This window comes from Homo sapiens, chromosome 3 (genome assembly GCF_000001405.40).
Source record: "Homo sapiens chromosome 3, GRCh38.p14 Primary Assembly".
NCBI lineage: Eukaryota > Metazoa > Chordata > Mammalia > Primates > Hominidae > Homo > Homo sapiens.
The window spans coordinates 51,229,905-51,249,621 of record NC_000003.12 but is presented as its reverse complement, the minus strand read 5'-3'; the positions used below and the strand labels follow the sequence as shown (position 1 = coordinate 51,249,621).

The 19,717-nt window shown below is 42.1% G+C and overlaps 1 protein-coding gene across 25 annotated transcripts in view; it reads right to left on the bottom strand.

Moving 5' to 3' along the window:
* Positions 1-19,717, bottom strand: part of DOCK3 (dedicator of cytokinesis 3) — a 709,272-nt gene that overhangs the window by 134,577 nt on the left and 554,978 nt on the right. For all 25 annotated transcript variants that reach the window (XM_005264914.4, NM_004947.5, XM_006713010.4 and 22 more), the window contains 3 exons: positions 13,194-13,277; positions 12,032-12,132; positions 2,815-2,896 (listed from right to left, as the gene is read on the bottom strand). In XM_005264914.4, the coding sequence (XP_005264971.1) occupies positions 2,815-2,896; positions 12,032-12,132; positions 13,194-13,277 (267 nt within the window). The remainder of the gene's footprint in view (positions 1-2,814; positions 2,897-12,031; positions 12,133-13,193; positions 13,278-19,717) is intronic.

Sequence of the window (19,717 nt, the reverse complement as noted above, 5' to 3'; positions counted from 1 at the left end):
CGGGCGGGGGGCTGACCCCCCCACCTCCCTCCCGGACTGGGCGGCTGGCCGGGCGGGGGGCTGACCCGCCCACCTCCCTCCCGGACCGGGCGGCTGGCCGGGCGGGGAGCTGACCCCCCCACCTCCCTCCCGGATGGGGCGGCTGGCTGGGCAGAGGGGCTCCTCACTTCCCAGTAGGGGCGGCCGGACAGAGGCGCCCCTCACCTCCCGGACGGGGCGGCTGGCCGGGCGGGGGGCTAACCCCCCCACCTCCCTCCCGGACTGGGCGGCTGGCCGGGCGGGGCCTGAACCCCCCACCTCCCTCCCGGACGGGGCGGCTGGTTGGGCAGAGGGGCTCCTCACTTCCCAGTAGGGGCGGCCGGGCAGAGGCGCCCCTCACCTCCCGGACAGGGCGGCTGGCCGGGCGGGGGGCTGACCCCCCCACCTCCCTGCCGGATGGGGCAGCTGGCCTGGCGGGGGGCTGACCCCCCCACCTCCCTCCCGGACGGGGCGGCTGGCCTGGCGGGGGGCTGACCCCCCCCACCTCCCTCCCGGACGGGGTGGCTGCCGGGCGGAGACGCTCCTCACTTCCCAGACGGGGTGGCTGCCGGGCGGAGAGGCTCCTCACTTCTCAGACGGGGCGGCTGCCGGGCGGAGAGGCTCCTCACTTCTCATAGGGGCGGCTGCCGGGCGGAGGGTCTCCTCACTTCTCAGATGGGGCGGCCGGGCAGAGACGCTCCTCACCTCCCAGACGGGGTGGCGGCCGGGCAGAGGCGCTCCTCACATCCCAGACGGGGCGGCGGGGCAGAGGTGCTCTCCACATCCCAGACGATGGGCGGCCGGGCAAAGACGCTCCTCACTTCCTAGATGTGATGGCGGCCGGGAAGAGGCGCTCCTCACTTCCTAGATGGGATGGCGGCCGGGCGGAGACGCTCCTCACTTTCCAGACTGGGCAGCCAGGCAGAGGGGCTCCTCACATCCCAGACGATGGGCGGCCAGGCGGAGACGCTCCTCACTGCCCAGACGGGGTGGCGGCCGGGCAGAGGCTGCAATCTCGGCACTTTGGGAGGCCAAGGCAGGCGGCTGGGAGGTGGAGGTTGTAGCGAGCCGAGATCACGCCACTGCACTCCAGCCTGGGCGCCATTGAGCACTGAGTGAACCACACTCCGTCTGCAATCCCAGCACCTCAGGAGGCCGAGGCTGGTGGATCACTCGCGGTTAGGAGCTGGAGACCAGCCCGGCCAACACAGCGAAACCCCGTCTCCACCAAAAAAATACGAAAACCAGTCAGGCGTGGCAGCGCGCGCCTGCAATTGCAGGCACTCCGCAGGCTGAGGCAGGAGAATCAGCTCTTTTTCTTTTTAAGATGGAGTCTCACTCTGTCCTGTTTTGTTTTTTAAACTGACTTTGTAAGCCAATGTTGGTGTCAACATTGATTAGAATAAATACATGTATTTATCTGTTTTACATATATTGTATGTGTTTCCCCACTTGAATGAAAGTACTATGAAGCCCTAGCCATTTTTGTTTGGGCCCCTGCTGAATCTCCAGTGGTTAGAACAGTGTCTGAAGCATGGTAGGTATCAAGCAACATTGACTGAATGATTAAACGAATGATTTTTAGGAGAAAACAACTTCTGCGCTGCCTTCTCCGGTATCCTTAAGCAATTATTTTTCAGGCTCATATAGAATCTTTTGCATTTAACTCAACTTTTATCCACTCAAATATTGTGTTAGGCACCTGACAGGTGCTAGGGTTCTGAGAAGAAGAGAACCGAGGCCCTTTCCTCACATGCCTCAGCACCCTGCCCTACACTTGTGTTCGTGCCTCCCCTTAGGATACTGCGGATATGTTCTTCAAGAAGATGGGCTGGTCTTATTCATCGTTGCATCTTAGCCCCTAGGACAGATGCTCAGTAGGCATTTGTATGAAAGAGGACAGAAATGAGCCTTGCAGCCTCAGATTTTTACGGAATGTGCAAAGAAGAGGAAGACTAAATGCAAATCTATGATTTGATTTTGCCCCTTCAGTCTGATAATGCTTGAGAAAACATTCTGTTACCTGTTAAACATGTGGAAAAGGACAAAAACACAGGTCCAGTACTTGTTGCAGGTGATGTGATATTAAAAGAGGACAGAAATAAAGCAAAACTGTTTTTTGTTTGTTTGTTTGTTTGTTTTAACAGCAGAACAGTAGTCATGAAAAGAAGTTACCAGACAGTGGAGTTAACTCAAAATGAGAACAGTCCCCTGTCAATTGGAGCTACCCAGCAATACAAAGGGCTGCCTTGTCAGGGAACCTGTCCAAGCAGGGATGCTGACAATGGTCACGACCATGGAAGACCACAGGTTCTTCCTAAGGCCACAGTTTTAAGATTCCCTTCTTCTGAACAAACCCACATACAGTGCATCCACTCAGCTCTTTTTACTTAAAACAGTTCAAAAAATCTATGCTTAGTAACTACCAAAAAAGAGAATACTATTAGAGGATCCTAATTCAATCAACGTTGCCACCAACATTGGCTTAGAAGGAGTTACTATACTTTAGCCAGTGGTAGAAAGGACTGATACTATGGGTAACAATCAGGCAGGGGAGGATAGCCAGGAGCCATGTGCATATCATCTCTCCCTCCTTCTTTAAAATTATCAGGAATAAAAGCTTTCTGGGGCAAAATCAAGGTAAGGAAAGAGAAATTATGTGGATCAAGACAGTCATTCCTGAAAGCAGGCCAGGTACTGCGATGTCTACATTTGTCCTGCACATTGTATCACTGAGATTACTCACAAATAATTGCATGAGTGGGTCTCTTATGTATGGAGAGGTTAGTACATTACCCGCATAGCTTCTTGAATGTGGTCCTGTCGAATCAGTTCTGCTGAGCAGTCCATATACCACTTCAAACAGCGGATGAGCTCCCTGGGAAAGAGAACAGTTCCAGAAACCCCACTTTAATTCAAAAGTAATGCAGCTTGAAACATCTGTAGCCCTGAATTAGGCAAATAGGAAATAATATTCTGCTGATGAGCTAGAAAGGAGTGATAGATCCATTACAGCTTTGGACTATTCAGGTCACCTGAGAACAAACAACACTCTTTGTCCATAGGAGTTGCCACATTTTAATCAGCAACTAAAATAACTTTTTCCCACTCTCTCTGACATACATTTCTTTTTGATTACAAGAAAGTTTCCACCCAAGTCTGGGGAACATGGCGAAACCTTATCTCTACAAAAAAATAGAAAAATTAGCCAGGCATGGTGGTGCGTGCCTGTAGTCCCAGCTACTCAGGAGGCTGAATCAGGTGGATCAACTGAGCCCAGGAGGTAAAGGCTGCAGTGAGCCATGACTGCGCCACTGCACTCCAGCTTGGGCAACAGAACAATATCTCATCTGAAAAAAAAAAAAAAAAAAGTTTTCCTAAAGACCTGGACTGGATGTGTATTTTTGTTTTGTCTTAAATTGCTAGGTTTTCAGAACATCTGACACCAGCCAGTAAATAGTAGATTCTGAATAAAAGTATGCAGTCCCAGGAGTCCCTGTTCACAACCCCTGCTCTATCTCATCTATCTTATTTCCTTAGGACTCAGTCATCTGAATGGAATGAGATTACTGGGTCAGAAGGTCTGCATATTTATATGGCAACAAAGCACAGAGGTCAGGAGTATACGCCATGGTCACATCTGGGGCCTATCAATATCTAGTTTTGTATCCTTGAATGAGTTATTTAATCCCCTGTGTCACGTTCTTTTCAATGAAAATATGGGGGAAATAGTACATCTCAAAGTTATCACAAATACTAATAGAAAGACGCATATAAAGCACATAGAACAGTCCACTCTCCAAAGTGACATCAAAGTATCAGAGTTTCAGTGACTCCACAGCCTTGCCACCACTGGGTTTTATTTATATTTTCAATAATTATGCTAATTCTGTATAAGAAAATGGTGATTTCTGGCTGGGCATGGTGGCTCACGCCTGTAATCTCAGCACTCTAGGAGGCTGAGGCGGGTGGATCACGAGGTCAGGAGTTTGAGACCAGTCTGGCCAACATAGTGAAACCCCATCTCTACTAAAAATACAAAAAAATTAGCTGGGTGTGGTGGTGTGCGCCTATAATCCCGGCTACTTGGGAAGCTGAGGCAGAAGAATCGTGTGAACCCAGGAGGCGGAGGTTGCAGTGAGCCAAGATCAGGCCATTGCACTCCAGCCCAGGCGACAGTGCAAGACTCCGTCTCAAAAAAAAAAAAAAAAAAGAAAGAAAATGGTGATTTCTTATTGCTTTAATGGTCTTATTTATTTTTTTCTTTGAGACAGACACTTGCTCTATCGCTCAGACTGGAGTGCAGTGACGCGACCTCGGCTCATTGTAACCTCCACCTCCAGGGTCCAAGCAATTCTTGTGTCTCAGCCTCCCAAGCAGCCGGGATTACAGGAAGGGGAGGATGCAGCACCATGCATGGCTGATTTTTGTATTTTTAGTAGAGATGGGATTTCACCATGTTGGCCAGGCTGGTCTCGAACTCCTAGCCTCAAGTGATCCACCCGCCTCAGCCTCCCAAAGTGCTGGGATTACAGGCATGAGCCACCATGCCTGGCTTGCTTTAATGGTCTTAGATAACCTGTGTTTCTCATATTTGTTTATTAGTTATATAATCTCTTTTATGGACTGTCTTTTTATATTCTTTGACATTTTTTTGTGGGTGCTATTTTAGCTATTCGAATGTTTCTCATGGAAAAACCAAGACATCTTTAGCAGCTTTACCATCATTTCCTAGAAGTAGAAGTATAGCAACTATGTAACAAACTATAGTCTGAAATATCAGCTGAAAGCCCACAGCTAACATCAAACATAATGGTAAAAGACTGAAAGCATTTCCTCTAAGATCAGAAATAAGATAAGAATCCTCACTTTTGACACTTTTATTCAACATAGCACTGGAAATCCTAGCCAGTGAAATTAGGCAAGAAAAAGAAATCAAAGACATTCAAATTGAAAAGGAAGAATAAAATGCTCTGTTTTCAAATGATATAATCTTATATGTAGAAAACCCTAAAGAATCCCCAAAAAAACCTGTTAGAACTAATAAATAAATTCAGTAAAGTTGCAGGACACAAAATCAACACAAAAAATCAAATGCATTTCTATATGCTAAAAATGAACATTCTGAAAATGAAATTAAGACAATTCCATTTACAATAGCATCAAAAAGAATAAAATACTTAGGATACATTTAACTAAGGAGACAAAAGTTTTATACATGTTGCTTAAAGAAATAAAAGATAGCAATAAATGGAAATACGTCTTATATTCATTAATTAGAAGGTTTAATATTGTTATTAAAGATGTAAATGCTACCCAAAGTGATCTACAGATTCAATGCAATCCCTAACACAATTCCAATGGCATTTTTTGCAGAAAAAAAAAAATCCATCCTAATATGGAATCACAAGTGACCTGGAATAGCCAAAAGCATCTTGAAAAAGAGGAACAAAATTGCAGTCTCATACTTCCTGATTTCAAAACTTACCACAAAGCTACAGCAATCAAAACAATGTTGAATTAGCATAAAGACATATTTATAAAACAATGGGAAAAGATAGGCCAGAAGTAAAGCCTCACATATATGGTCAAGGGGCCAGGGTATCACCCTTTTGACAAGAATGCCAAGACCATTCAGTGGGGGAAAAGACAGCTTCAATAAATGGAACTGGGAAATTGGATATCCACATGCAAAAAGAATGAAGTCAGACACTTATCTTATACAATATACAAAAATTAACTCAAAGTGGATCAAAGACCTAAATCTAAGGGCTAGAATTATAAAACACTTAAAAGAAAAGATAGGTGAAAGCTTCATATTAGGCAATGATTTCTTGAAAATGACACCAAAAGCACAGGCAACAACAAAAAATAAGGTGGACTACATCAAAACTTTAAAAACTTCTGTGTCTCAAAGGACACAATCAACAGAGTGAAAAGGCAACCAAGTGACTGGGAAAAATATTTATAAATCATATAACTGATAAGGGGTTAATATCCAGAATATATAAAGAACTCCTATAACTCAACAATAAAACAAATAACCTCTTTTTAAAAAATGGGTGAAGGACTTGAATACACATTTCTCAAAGGAAGATAATTAGGGAAACACAAATAAAAAACATAAAGAAATATCACTTTACACCCATTAGGGTGGCCACTATAAAAAAAAAAACCCAGAAAATAGCCTGGCCCTCGATGGCTCTGGAGGAAAGGTGAGTGAACTATTAAGAAGCAACTTGCTCTTACTAATGGCCTCTGGAACCCTGGCAGAAGGAGAGCCCTCAACCACCACAGATACTTGAGTTGGCAGGGAGAGCTGCTTAGAGAAGTGGTAGGGGTAGCAAACCAGATGATGTGGAGCCCAGGGGGTTTGGTATGGGAGTGTCTGTAGTGGTGCACAGCCAGGGATGGCCATCCCCCTAGGCTTGACTTGCTCCCGTGGGAGACTTCAGTCCTAGGGGAACTGTTGGTCCTGAACTCTGCAGGGCGGTCTTGCCCATCAGATGGGGCTGGTCTATCCTGAGCACCCCTTGGTTGGCTGGCCTCTCCTAGGGCCCAAGTCTGGCCATACCTGCTTGCAGGGCAGCCTCAGGTGACCTGGGGGCCCCATGTCATAGCTTCTACACAGACCATGCTTGATGGGGGAGAGCTCCACTGGTGCGACCCTATGCCACGCACTAGCCTGCATGCCCCCTCCCCATACTGCAGCTTCCCCAGGACCCACTGCAACTCTCCACAATGCTTTACTGGCTTGTGTCTGTACTGGCAGGTTTTGCTTTCCTTTTTCCATTAAAAAGTGGGCTAGCATGTAAGAGTGCAGCCTGTCCCCTGCTCCCACCACCATTGCAGATGGAGCCTTGGTGGGCACAGAGCCAGCCAGCCCCGTCCTTGTCAGTGCCCCACCCTTGCTCTAACACTGTGCAGAGAATAGCAGATCCTCCCCTATCCTGAGTGACTACTTCTGCTTGCAGGACACAGAGGAGGCACCCAGACCTTCAGTGTCCCAACCCTGAGCCATCACCATCTCTACCGTGACTGCACAAAAGTTGCCAGTAGGGGCCCCAGCTCTGCCCAGCCATGTTGCCTCTGCCACCTTGGTCAATGCCTGCAGGGAGGCAGGTACCCTGACACTGGCATCTGCTAGCACTCTGCCACAGGTGACTCTGCCACAGCTGCTGTACCCACTGCTGCTGGCACATGTGAACAGGGATAGATCCAGCTGTCACTGCACTATGAACCACTTTGGCTTATACCACCCAGCCAAAGTGGAATGGCCAGCAGTCTGGGAGCATCTCGGCCTACCCAGTACAGTGGATTCCTAACCTTAAGGAGCCAGAGAACAAAGCTGGGGCCCAATACCAGTCCCCAAGTTGTGTTAGAGTGCACAGTCCAGGAGTTGAGAGCTGAGCACTGTCCCCTAAAATGTTCCAGAAATGAATCCAGCTGGCTGAATCCACTTTATACCATAATCAAACATTCAAGGTCATCAAACAGGATAAAAGGGAAAAAAAAAACCATCCAAAGGACAGCAACCTCGAAGACTGAAGAGTGACAAGCCCACAAAGATGAAAAAGAACCAGCACAAGGACCCTGGCAACTCAAAAAGCCTTCTTTCCTCCAAATGACTGCATCACCTCTCCAGCAAGGGTTCTGAACTGGGCTGAGAGGGCTGAAATGACAGAAATAGAATTCAGAATATGGATAGGAATGATGATCATTGAGCTACAGGAGTACACTGAAAGCTAATCCAAGGAAGCTAAAAATCATGATAAAACAATGCAGGAGCTGACAGACAAAATAGTTAGTATAGAAAAGAATGTAACTGACCTGACAGAGCTGAAAAACACTCTACAGGAATTTCAGAATGCAATTGCAAGTATTAACAGCAGAATAGACCAAGTTCGGGAAAGAATCTCAGAGCTTGAAGACTGGCCTTCTGAAATATGACAGTCAGACAAGAACAGAGAAAAAAGAATGAAAATGAATGAACAAAACCTCCGAGGAATATGGGATTATGTAAAGAGACCAAATCTACAACTCACTGGTGTCCTTAAAATAGACGGGGAGAATGGAACCAACTTAGAAAACATATTTCAGGATATCATCCATGAAGACTTCCCCAACCTAGCTAGAAAGGGCAACATTCAAATTCAGGAAATGCGGAGAACCCCAGTAAAATACTTCACAAGAAGATCATCTCCAAGACACATATTCATCAGATTCTCCAAGGTCAAAATGAAAGAAAAAATGTTAAAGGCATTTAGAGAGAAGGATCAGGTCACCTACAAAGGGAAGCTCATGAGACTAAAAGTGGATCTCTCAGTAGAAACAAGCAAGAAGAGACTGGGGGCCAATATTCAACATTCTTAAAGAAAAGAAATTCCAATAAATAATTTCATATCCAGCCAAACTAAGCTTCATAAGCGAAGGAGAAATAAGATCCTTTTCAGACAACCAAATGCTGAAGGAATTTGTTACCACCAGACCTGCCTTACAAGAGCTCCCGAAGGAAGCACAAAATACGCAAAGAAAAGACCAATACCAGCCATGACAAAAACACACAAGTACACAGACCAGTGACATTATAAAGCAACTACATAAACAAGTCTGCAAAATAACCAGCTAACATCATAACAGGATCAAATCCACACATATCAATACTAACTTTGAATATAAATGGATAAAATTTCCCAATTAAAAGGCATAGAGTGGCAAGCTGGATAAAGAACCAAGACCCATTCATAAGCTGTCTTCAAAGAGACCCATCTCACATGCAGTGACACAGATAGGCTCAAAATAAAGGGATGGAGAAAAATCTACCCAGCAAATGGAAAACAGAAAAATAGTAGGGGTTGCAATCCTGATTTCAAACAAAACAGATTTCAAACCAACAAAGACTGCAAAAGACAAAGAAGGGTATTACATAATGTTGAAGAGTTCAACAAGAAGACCTAACTCTCTTAAGTATATATGCACCCAACACAGGAGCACCTAGATTCATAAAGGAAGTTCTTAGAGACCTTCAAAGAGACTTAAGACTCCTACACAATAATAGAGGGAGACTTCAACACCACACTGACAGTATTAGACAGATCATCAAGACAGAAAATTAACAAAGATATCAGGACCTAACTCAGCACTAGATCAAATGGACCTGATAGACATCTACAGAACACTCCACTCAAAAGCAAGAGAACATACATTTGTCTCATTGCCACATGGCACATAGTCTAAAATTGACCACATAATTGGGACACAAAACACTCCTCAGCAAAATCACTGAAATCATACTCTCTCAGACCACAGCACAATCAAATTAGAAATCAAGACTAAGAAATTCACTGAAAACCATAAAATTACATGGAAATGCAATAACTTGCTCCTGAATAACTTCTGGGTAAATAATGAAATTAAGGCAGAAATCAACAAGTTCTTTGAAACTAATTAGAATAAAGATACAGCATACCAGAATCTCTGGGACACAGGTAAGGCATTGTTAAGAGGGAAATTTATAGCACTGAATGCCCAAATCAAAAAGTTAGAAAGATCTCAATTTAACAGCCTAACATCACAACTAAAAGAACTAGAGAACTAAGAGCAAACCAATTCCTAAACTAGCAGAAGACATGAAATAACCAAAATCAGAATTGAACCAAAGGAGATTGAGACACAAAAAACCATTCAAAAGATCAATGAATCCGGGATGATTTTTTGAAAACAATTAATAGACTGCTAGCTAGACTAATAAAGAAGAAAAAAGAGAATATTCTAATAAATACAATCAGAAATGAAAAGGGGGATATTCCCTTTGACCCCACAGAAATACAAATAACCATCAGAGAATATTATGAACATCTTTATGCACATAAACTAAAAAATCTAGAAGAAATAAATAAATTCATGGACACAAACACTCTCCCAAGAGTGAACCAAGAAGAAATGGAATCCCCAAACAGACCAATAATAAACTGTGAACTTGAGTCAGTAACAGCCTACCAACTAAAAAAAAACAAAAAAAACAAAAAACAAACAAACAAAAAAAAAACCCAGGACCAGACAGATTCACAGCCAAATTGTACCAAATGCACAAAGAAATGAGGCCAGTGGCTGGGCACAGTGGCTTACACCTGTAATCCCAGCACTTTGGGAGGCCGAGGCAGGTCAGGAGATGGAGACCAGCCTGGCCAACATGGTGAAACCCCGTCTCTACTCAAAATACAAAAATTAGCCAGGTGTGGTGGCATATGCCTGTAGTCCCAGCTACTCAGGAGGCTGAGGCAGAAGGATCGCTTGAACCCAGGAGGCGCAGGTTACAGTGAGCCAAGATTGCGCCACTCTACTCCATCCTAGGTGACAGAGTGAGACTCTGTCTCTAAATAAATAAATAAATAAATAAATAAAAAGTACGCTTTATCTTTGGGGTACAAGATACCATCCTGCACCGGCCAGAATGGCTATGATTAAAATGTCAAAAAATAACAGATGCTGGCAAGGTTGCAGAGAAAAATGAATGCTTATATACTGTTGATGGTAGTGTAAATTAGTTCAACCATTGTGGAAAGCGGTGTGGCAATTTCTCAAAGACGTAAAAACAGAACTACCATTTGACCCAGCAATCCCAATACTGTATATAAACCCAAAGTAATATAAATTGTTCTACCATAAAGACACATGCTTGCATAGGTTCATTGCAGCACTGTTCACAATGGCAAAGACATGGAATCAAGCTAAATGCCTATCAATGGTAGACTGGATAAAGAAAATGTGGTACATATATACCATGGAATACTATGCAGCCATAAAAAAGAATGAGATCATGTCTTTTGCAGAAACATGGATGAAGCTGGAGACCATTATTCTTAGCAAACTAACACAGCAACAGAAAACCAAATACCACATGTTCTCACTTATAAGTGGGAGCTACATGACGAGAATGCATGGACACATAGAGGGGAACAAAACACACCGAGGCCTATCGGAGGGTAGAGGGTAGGAGGACGGAGAGGATCAGGAAAAATAACTAATGGGTACTAGGCTTAATACCTAGGTGATGAAATAATCTATACAACAAACCTCCATGACACAAATTTACCTATATAACAAACCTGCACATGTACCCCTGAACTTAAAATAAAATTAAAAAACAAACAAAAAAACCCAGCCAGGCGCGGTGGCTCACGCCTGTAATCCCAGCACTTTGGGAGGCCAAGGCAGGTGGATCATGAGGTCAGGAGATCAAGACCATCCTGGCTAACATGGTGAAACCCTGACTCTACTAAAAATACAAAAAATTAGCCAGGTGTGGTGGTGGGCACCTGCAGTCCCAGCTACTCGGGAGGCTGAGGCAGGAGAATGGTGTGAACCCGGGAAGCAGAGCTTGCAGTGAGCCAAGATTGCGCCACTGCACTCCAGCCTGGGTGACAGAGCAAGACTCCATCTCAAAAAAAAAAAAAAAAAAAAAAAAAAAAAAAAAAAAAAAAAGTGGTAAATATATACAATGGAACATTATTCAGTCTTTGAAAGGAATGAAATTCTGACCCATGCTAAAACATGGATGAGCCTTGAAGACATTATGCTGAGTGAAATAAGCTACTCACAAAAGGACAAATATTGTGATTACACTTACATGAGGTACCTAAAGTAGTCAAATTCATAGAGACAGAAAGTAGAATAGAATGGTGGGTGCCAGGGGATAGGGGAGGGGAGAATGGGGAGTTATTTTTAATGATTACAATATTTCAGTTTTGTAACAGGAAAAGAGTTTTGGAGATGGACAGAGTTCTGGTGATGGTTGTACAATGATGTGAATGTACTTAAAGTCACTGAACCCTACACTCAGAAAATGGTTAAGATGGTCAATTTTGTGTTATGTGTATTTTATCACAATTAAAAATATAAAATTTTTAAAAAGTCAGCTGAACTTTTTAAATGCTGGTTGCAGCTAAACTTTTTTAAAGCCTATATTTCTACTCAAACACGAGTCCTAATGATGATACCAAATGGAACTTACTTGTATGCCAGAGCTCCAGCAAAGTGCTTCTGGATATACGTGTCCATCACAGGTCGAAAGTGAAAATACTTGATGTCTCGGAGCAGGTTGATGATGAACACCTGGGAGATATGGAGAGTAAGCCATCAGGGTTCACTGGAGGCCTCAGATCTATCCCCAGCAGGAAACAGAGTCTTCCTTCTCCAAATAATGGCAAATTGTCAGTGCTGTCCTCTAGCATTCCCCATGGGTAGTGAATGTAAGATTTCCATTCTGTGTCTGTATTTCTGTCTTGTCTTTTCTCTAACACCCCAGCCTCCTAATTCAGACCCGGGCTCATCAGTCTCTTCCTGTATTTACTGTGAGCCTCTCCCTTCACAATAATGCTGGGTGGTACAATACAGATCAGGGAAAGGCAAAACAATATGCGTGTAGATGGCATAAACAATAAGGTATTCCCAAAAACGTGGAAAAGAGAGGAAAAAAAGCTTGTCCTCTGAGCCAAATCAGCCTATGAAACTCTGTATCCTTCAGAAATGGGGCTGGTGGACAGGCAAATTAGGAAGAAGAAGAGCCGGAGGGGCAAACTATGCAAGTACTCATTGCAACTCTCACCTCTGCTCCTTATCTATGAGAGTATCTGACTCTTCTTGAATGTATGGCTCTCTGTGGGACTGGATATATTAGGCAAAATGCACTAAACATTCAAATCACTGTCCATTTTCATTAACCAACCTTCTGAGACTCTAGTTCTGAAACAACTGCATAGATTCTGGACCTGCACAGGTCTCTAGAGACCAGCATGGGTAAGTCTCTGCTTTTCATGATGGTTATATCCTACTTTGTAAGTGAAAAAATGAGCCATCTGATTTCTTGTATTACTCTCTGGGTTTCTGACCTCATGGAGGTCACTATTTCATGGGCCAGGCATACTGCAATAGTGATGAGATGGAAGATCCAGAAACTATAAAGTCAAGGTCTGGACTTGATTGTGTTGGATTCTTCAAGTTTGATCTGCCTGGTTGGTTGCTTGGTCTTCCTTGGGTGACAGTCCTTAGTCCCTTTTCTATTGGAAACATCTATATCTTGTGCTGATTCACTCTAATAAATTGCTTCCCTTAAATTTTCTGAAATATATGACAGGAATAATTAATAAAAGTAAAGAGTCAGGAAGGTGACTTACCAGAGACTGAAAAACCAACAGGCCGTACTTCTCTGTATTATCATCCAAAATCACAAAGAGTGTATCTAAGATGTCCTGCAGAAACTAAAACAACATAAAAAGCAGAGGGCTCAGGTCTCAGGACCTTACACGCACAAACTTCCATAAATCAATGAATTTAACTTCCAATAAAAAAGTGAAAGATCTCTTAGGATCTCAAAATACCACTTAAAAATCATCGTACTAGTACCCTGACCCTCCACCCAGCTAAGTGATAACTAGGTGCACTTGAGGTGTTGGCTTATAGCCCAAAGGGCCCCAAGAAAGACTTAGAGAGGCTCTTCCTGTTGGGTGAGTGATACATTTCTAAGGAAAGGGCAATGCCCTAAAAACCATAGGACACCTATGCAGAATAGCAATTTTGATATAAAAACAATCTAAGTGATACTGATGCCAAATTTATTTTGAGAAAAAGAGCTTACTGGTATCCCCAAAAGTTCAGTAGTCTCTTGCTCTCTACTGTGGCCTAACAATATAGAGTATATTTGATAAGGGTGTGGCAAGTTAGGCTTTACCTACAGACACTATTTTTTGGTCTAAGAATTAGTATTACAGAAGAATGGAGAATGCAGTCAATGAGGGCTGTCAATGGGGGTAAAAAATGTGGCAGTATTTTTGTTGTTGTTTCAACATGTGCCTATTTCTGAGATGCAAAAACAAAGGAAGAGAATAATAAATATTGATGGACACTTGCAGCCTTCAAAAATCAAGTCTATCCTTCCTCCAGTTTAAAAGATACAATGTTTACAATTCATTTCTGAAAAATATGAGGTAGAAGGTGTAGATAGGGGTAATAATGATGGGTCAAGACTGGCCATGGGTTAATGGTCTTTGGGGTTGGGTCAGAGATACATCTAAGGTTCTTTATACTATTCTGTATACTTCTGCATATGCTTGAAATCTTCCAATAAGAAGTAAAAAATATTTCAAAATGCTATCACATTCTCTTTACATTGTCTTCTAGCTAGCTGGAGACAAATTATTGATGCTAAAACTAGATATGCTGGTAGGATGTTCTCTTCTCAGGAATATAAAAGCTCACCCTTGAAAAGACAACAGACTTCTTAATACCTCGTTTACTGGTTGATATTTTCAATATTCTTAGAAGGAAAATATGAGTATGAATTTATCTTAAGTTTCAAAACTAGCATTAGATTGCTTTGAAGAGTTAAAAAATTTTTATGATAATCTGATCACATAATTAAAACAAAATTCATACATCAACTTCATGAAAGTACACAGTGGTACACAGACTTTAAAACTGTTCCTGACTTGGAAACACTGTGTTGTGTATTATTGAGTTAATGGAGCTGTGAAAGCAAAGTTAGGTGGTGCATTTGTGCTAATTCATTTGACGCTTGTGATGGCAAAGCTAAGAATGTTCATTATGGACAGGATGCCTTCTCCAGATTTAATCTCTAGCCTACATTCCATTACTCTTACTGATAACCAAAAATACTTCCATTTTCTTCAGTAGAATTCAGTCCACTGTGTAGGATTCACCTGATGGGCTTTCACCACCAGGAAGTGCCTGGGGTTTTTATTGAGCTAAGGGGAAACACTCTGCCCAGAAAAGCCCTATGAAGGCAACTGGGGACTGGCAGTGTTGATGTCAGCCTGCTAAAGCCATTAGATAGGAAATGTCACAAAGGTACTTGGAGAAGGCAGTTAACATAGGGGTAAGGAAGGAAGGTATTATGGACTCCAAGTGAGAGACTAGACAAAATCAGCAGGTACAAGTTAATGAGCAGTATTTAGAGTTCTTAAAATCAGGAGAGTAGAGCCAGAAAGATATCAGGCTTAAATATAGTTTTTAAAAGTTAATAAACTGATATGCTATATACCTTTTTAAAAAAGGAGCTAACAAAAAAATCCCAAAGTATGATTCCTTGAGTATGACCCCCAAAGCAAAGGCAACAAAAACAAAAACTGATACAGGAAACAGACAACTCATGGAATGGGAGAAAATATTTCCAAACCATGTATCTCTGATAAGGAACTAATATCCAAAATGTATAAGGAACTCAAACAACTCACTAGCAAGAAAACAACGCAATCAAAAAGATGGGAAAAAGGACCTAAGTAGACATTTCTCAAAAGAAGATACACAAATGGCCAACAAATATATGAAAAAATGCTCATCATCACTAATCATCAGGGAAATGCAAATTGAAACCACAATGAGATGTCACCTCATCCCAGTTGGGAGAGCTATTACCAAAAGATAAAACATAACAAGTGTTGGTGAGGATGTGGAGAAAAAGGAATTCTTATGCACTGTTGATGAGAATGTAAATTAATACAGCCATTATGGAAAACAGTATAGAGGTTTCTCAGAAAACTAAAAATAGTATTACCATATAAGCCAGCAATCCCACTACTGGGTATATGTCCAAAGAAATTGAAATCAGTATGTTGAAGATGTCTTGGACATCTTCAGAACATGGGAGAGGTCTGCACTTCCATGTTCACTGCAAAATTGTTAATAGCTAAGATATGGAAACAATCTAGGTGTTGATCAGCAGATGAATGGATTAAGAAAATGTGGTATATGTTAAAAAAGCCAGTAGCTTTTCTCTACACCAACAACGTTCAAGCTGAAAGCCAAATCAAGAATGCAATTGCGTTTACAGTAGCCATACACAAAAAATACCTAGGAATACATCTAACCAAAGTGGTGAAAGACCTCTACAAGCATAATTACAGAGTACTGCTGAAAGAGGATGGGCGTGGTGGCTCAGGCCTGAAATCCCAGCACTTTGGGAGGCCGAGATGGGAGGATCACTTTAGGTCAGGAGTTCAAGACCAGCCTGACTAACACGGTGAAACCTTGTCTCTACTAAAAATACAAAAAAAATTAGCCAGGCGTGGTGGCACATGCCTGTAATCCCAGCTACTTGGGAGACTGAGGCAGGAGAATCACTTGAATCTGGGAGGCAGAGGTTGCAGTGAGCCGAGATCACGCCATTGTACTCCAGCCTGGGCAACAGAGGAAGACTCCATCTCAAATAAATAAATAAATAAATAAATAGATAGATAGATAGATAGATAGATAGATAGATAGATAGATAGAAAGAAAGAATACTGCTAAAAGAAATAATAAATGACACAAACAAATGGAAAAACCTTCCGTGCTCATGGGTTGGAAGAATCGATATTGTTAAAATGGCCATACTGCCCAAAGCAATCTATAGATTCAACACTATTCCTATCAAACTACCAACATAATTTTTCCCAGAATTAGAAGAAACTATTCTAAAATTAATACAGAACTGAAAAAGAGTCCAAATAGCCAAAGCAAGCCTTGGCAAAAAGAACAAAGCTGCAGGCATCACATCACCCCATTTCAAACTATACTACAAGGCTACAGTACCAAAAATGCATCATACTGGTATAAAAAAAGACACACAGACCAATGGAACACAACAGAGAGCCTCAAAATAAAATGGCCTACCTACAGCCATCTGGTCTTTGACAAAATCAACAAAAATAACAACAGGGACAGGACTCCATACTCAATAAATGGTGCTAGCAGCAAAAGAAATATCAGTGGAGTAAACAGACAACCCTCACAGTGTGAGAAAATATTTGCAAACCATGCATGCAACAAATGATTAGTATCCAGAATCTACAAGGAGCTCAAACAAATCAGCAAAAAACCACAAATAATCCCATCAAAAAGTGGACAAAGGACATGAATAGACATTTCTCCAAAGAAGATATACAAACAGCCAACAAACATATGAAAAAATGTTCACCATCATTAATCATCAGGGAAACACAAACTAAAACCACAATGAGATACCACCTTACTCCTGCAAGAATGGCCATAATTGAAAAGTCAAAAAACAACAGAAGTGGGTGTGGATGTGGTGAAAAGGGAATACTTTTATACTGCTGGTGGGAATGCAAATTAGTACAACCACTATGGAAAACAGTATGGTGATTCCTTAAAGAACTAAAAGTAGATCTACCATTCAATCCAGCAATTCCACTACTAGGAATCTACCCAAAGGAAAAGAAGCCATTACATGAAAAAGATACACGCACATGCATATTTATGGCAGCACAATTCGCATCTGCAAGGATATGGAACCAACCATTAGGAAGGTAGTGAGGGATAAAAGACAACATATTGGGTACAGTGTACACTGCTTGGGTGATAGGTGCACCAAAACCTCAGAATTCACAAATAAAGAACTCATCCATGTAACCAAAAACCACCTGTATCCCAATAACTATAAAAAAAAACATAAAAAAGAGAGTGTAACAATTGGCAAAAAATGAATGGTGCTGAGATAGCTGGCTAGAAACAGTTAAGGTAGAGGTAAGAACATTCTTCCTCAGGCAGTATATTTACATTGTGTGGAAATTAACAATTTCCTTCCCACTGACATGCTGCAGCTAGTACATTATTCATGCTGAAGAATGAAACTGGACCCCTACTTTCACTATGAACAAAAATGAACTCAAGATGGATTCAAGATTTAAGTGTAAGATCTCAAACTATAAGAATCCTAGAAGAAAACCTAGGAAACACCATTCTGGACATTGGCCTTAGGAAATCACTTATCACTAAGTCCTCAAAAGCAATTGCAACAAAAACAATTGACAAACGTGACTTTAATTAAACTAAAGAGTTTCTGCCTAGCAAAAGAAACTATCAACAGAGTAAACAGACAACCTACAGAATGGGAGAAAATATTTGCAAACTATGCATCTGACAAATGACTAATATCCAGAATATATAAGGAACTCAAACAACTCAACAAGCAAAAAACAATTCCATTAAAAAGTGAGCAGAAGACATGGACAGACACTTCTCAAAAGAAGACATACAATAAAGTGGCCAATAAACATATAAAAATGCTGATTATCACTAATCATCAGAGAACTGCAAATCAAAACCACAATGAGATACTATCTCACAACAGTCAGAGTGACTATTAAAATGTCAAAAAGCCTGGGTGTGGTGGCTCACTTCTGTAATCCCAGCACTTTGGGAGGCTGAGGCAGGCAGATCACTTGAGGTCAGGAGTTGGAGACCAGCCTGGCCAACATGGCAAAACCGTGTCTCTACTAAAAATATGAAAATTAGCCAGGCATGGTGGCACATGCCTGTAATACCAGCTACTTGGGAGGCTGAGGTAGGAGAATCACTTGAACCCAGGAGGCGGAGGTTGCAGTGAGCCAAGATCATGCCACTGCACTCCAGCCTGAGCAACAGGGCAAGACTCCGTCTCAAAAAAAAAAAAAAAAAAAAAAAAAGTCAAAAAATAACAGATGCTGGCGAAGCTGCAGAGAAAAGGGAACTCTTATACCTTGTTGGTGGGAATGTAAATTAGTTTAGCTCCTGTGGGAAGCAGTTTGGAGATTTATAAAAAAAACTTAGAACTAACATTTGACCCAGCAATCTTATTACTGTGTATATATCCAAAAGAAAAAAAAAAATCATTCTACCAAAAAGACCCATGCACTCAAATGTTCATCACGGTATTATTCACAATAACATAAGACATGGAATCAATCTAGGTGCCCATCAACAGTGAACTGGATAAAGGAAATGTGGTACATAGGTCGGGCGCGGTGGCTCATGCCTGTAATCCCAGCACTTTGGGAGGCCAAGGCGGATGGATCACGAGGTCAAGGGATCGAGACCATCCTGGCCAACATGGTGAAATCTCATCTCTATTAAAAATACAAAAATTTGCTGGGCGTGGTGGCACGCGCCTGTAGTCCTAGCTACTCTGGAGCCTGAGGCAGGAGAATCGCTTGAACCGGGCAGGCAGAGGTTGCAGTGAGCCGAGATTGCGCCACTGCACTCCAGCCTGGCGACAGAGTGAGACTCTGTCTCAAAAAAACAAAACAAAACAACAACAACAACAAAAAGACAATGTGGTACATGTACACCATGGAATACCATGCAGATAAAAAAAAAGAAAATCATGTCCTTTGCAGCAACATGGATGCAGCTGGAGCTCATTATTCTACAGAAACTAGCAAGAACAGAAAAACCAAATACTGCATGTTCTCACTTGTAACTGGGAGCTAAACATTAGGTACTCGTGGACATAAAAATGGTAACAGTAGACACTGGGGACTACTAGAGTGGGGAGGGACAGGGACAAGGGTTGAAAAACTGCTGGGTACTATGCTTACTACCTCAGTGATCAGATCATTTGTATCTCAAACCTCAGCATCATGTAATGCATCTACGTAACAAACCTGCACATGTACCCACTAAATCTAAAATAAAAGCTGAAATTATAAAATAAAAAAAGAAAACATGGCATATAAACACAATGGAATGCTATTCAGCCTTAAAATGGGAGAGATCTTGTCATTTGAGACAACATGGATACAACTGGAGGACATTAAGCTAAGTGAAATAAGTCAGGCACAGAAAGACCACACGATCACACTTATATGCGGAATACAAAAAACTGAACACATAGAAGTAGAACGTGCAATGAGGAATACCAGAG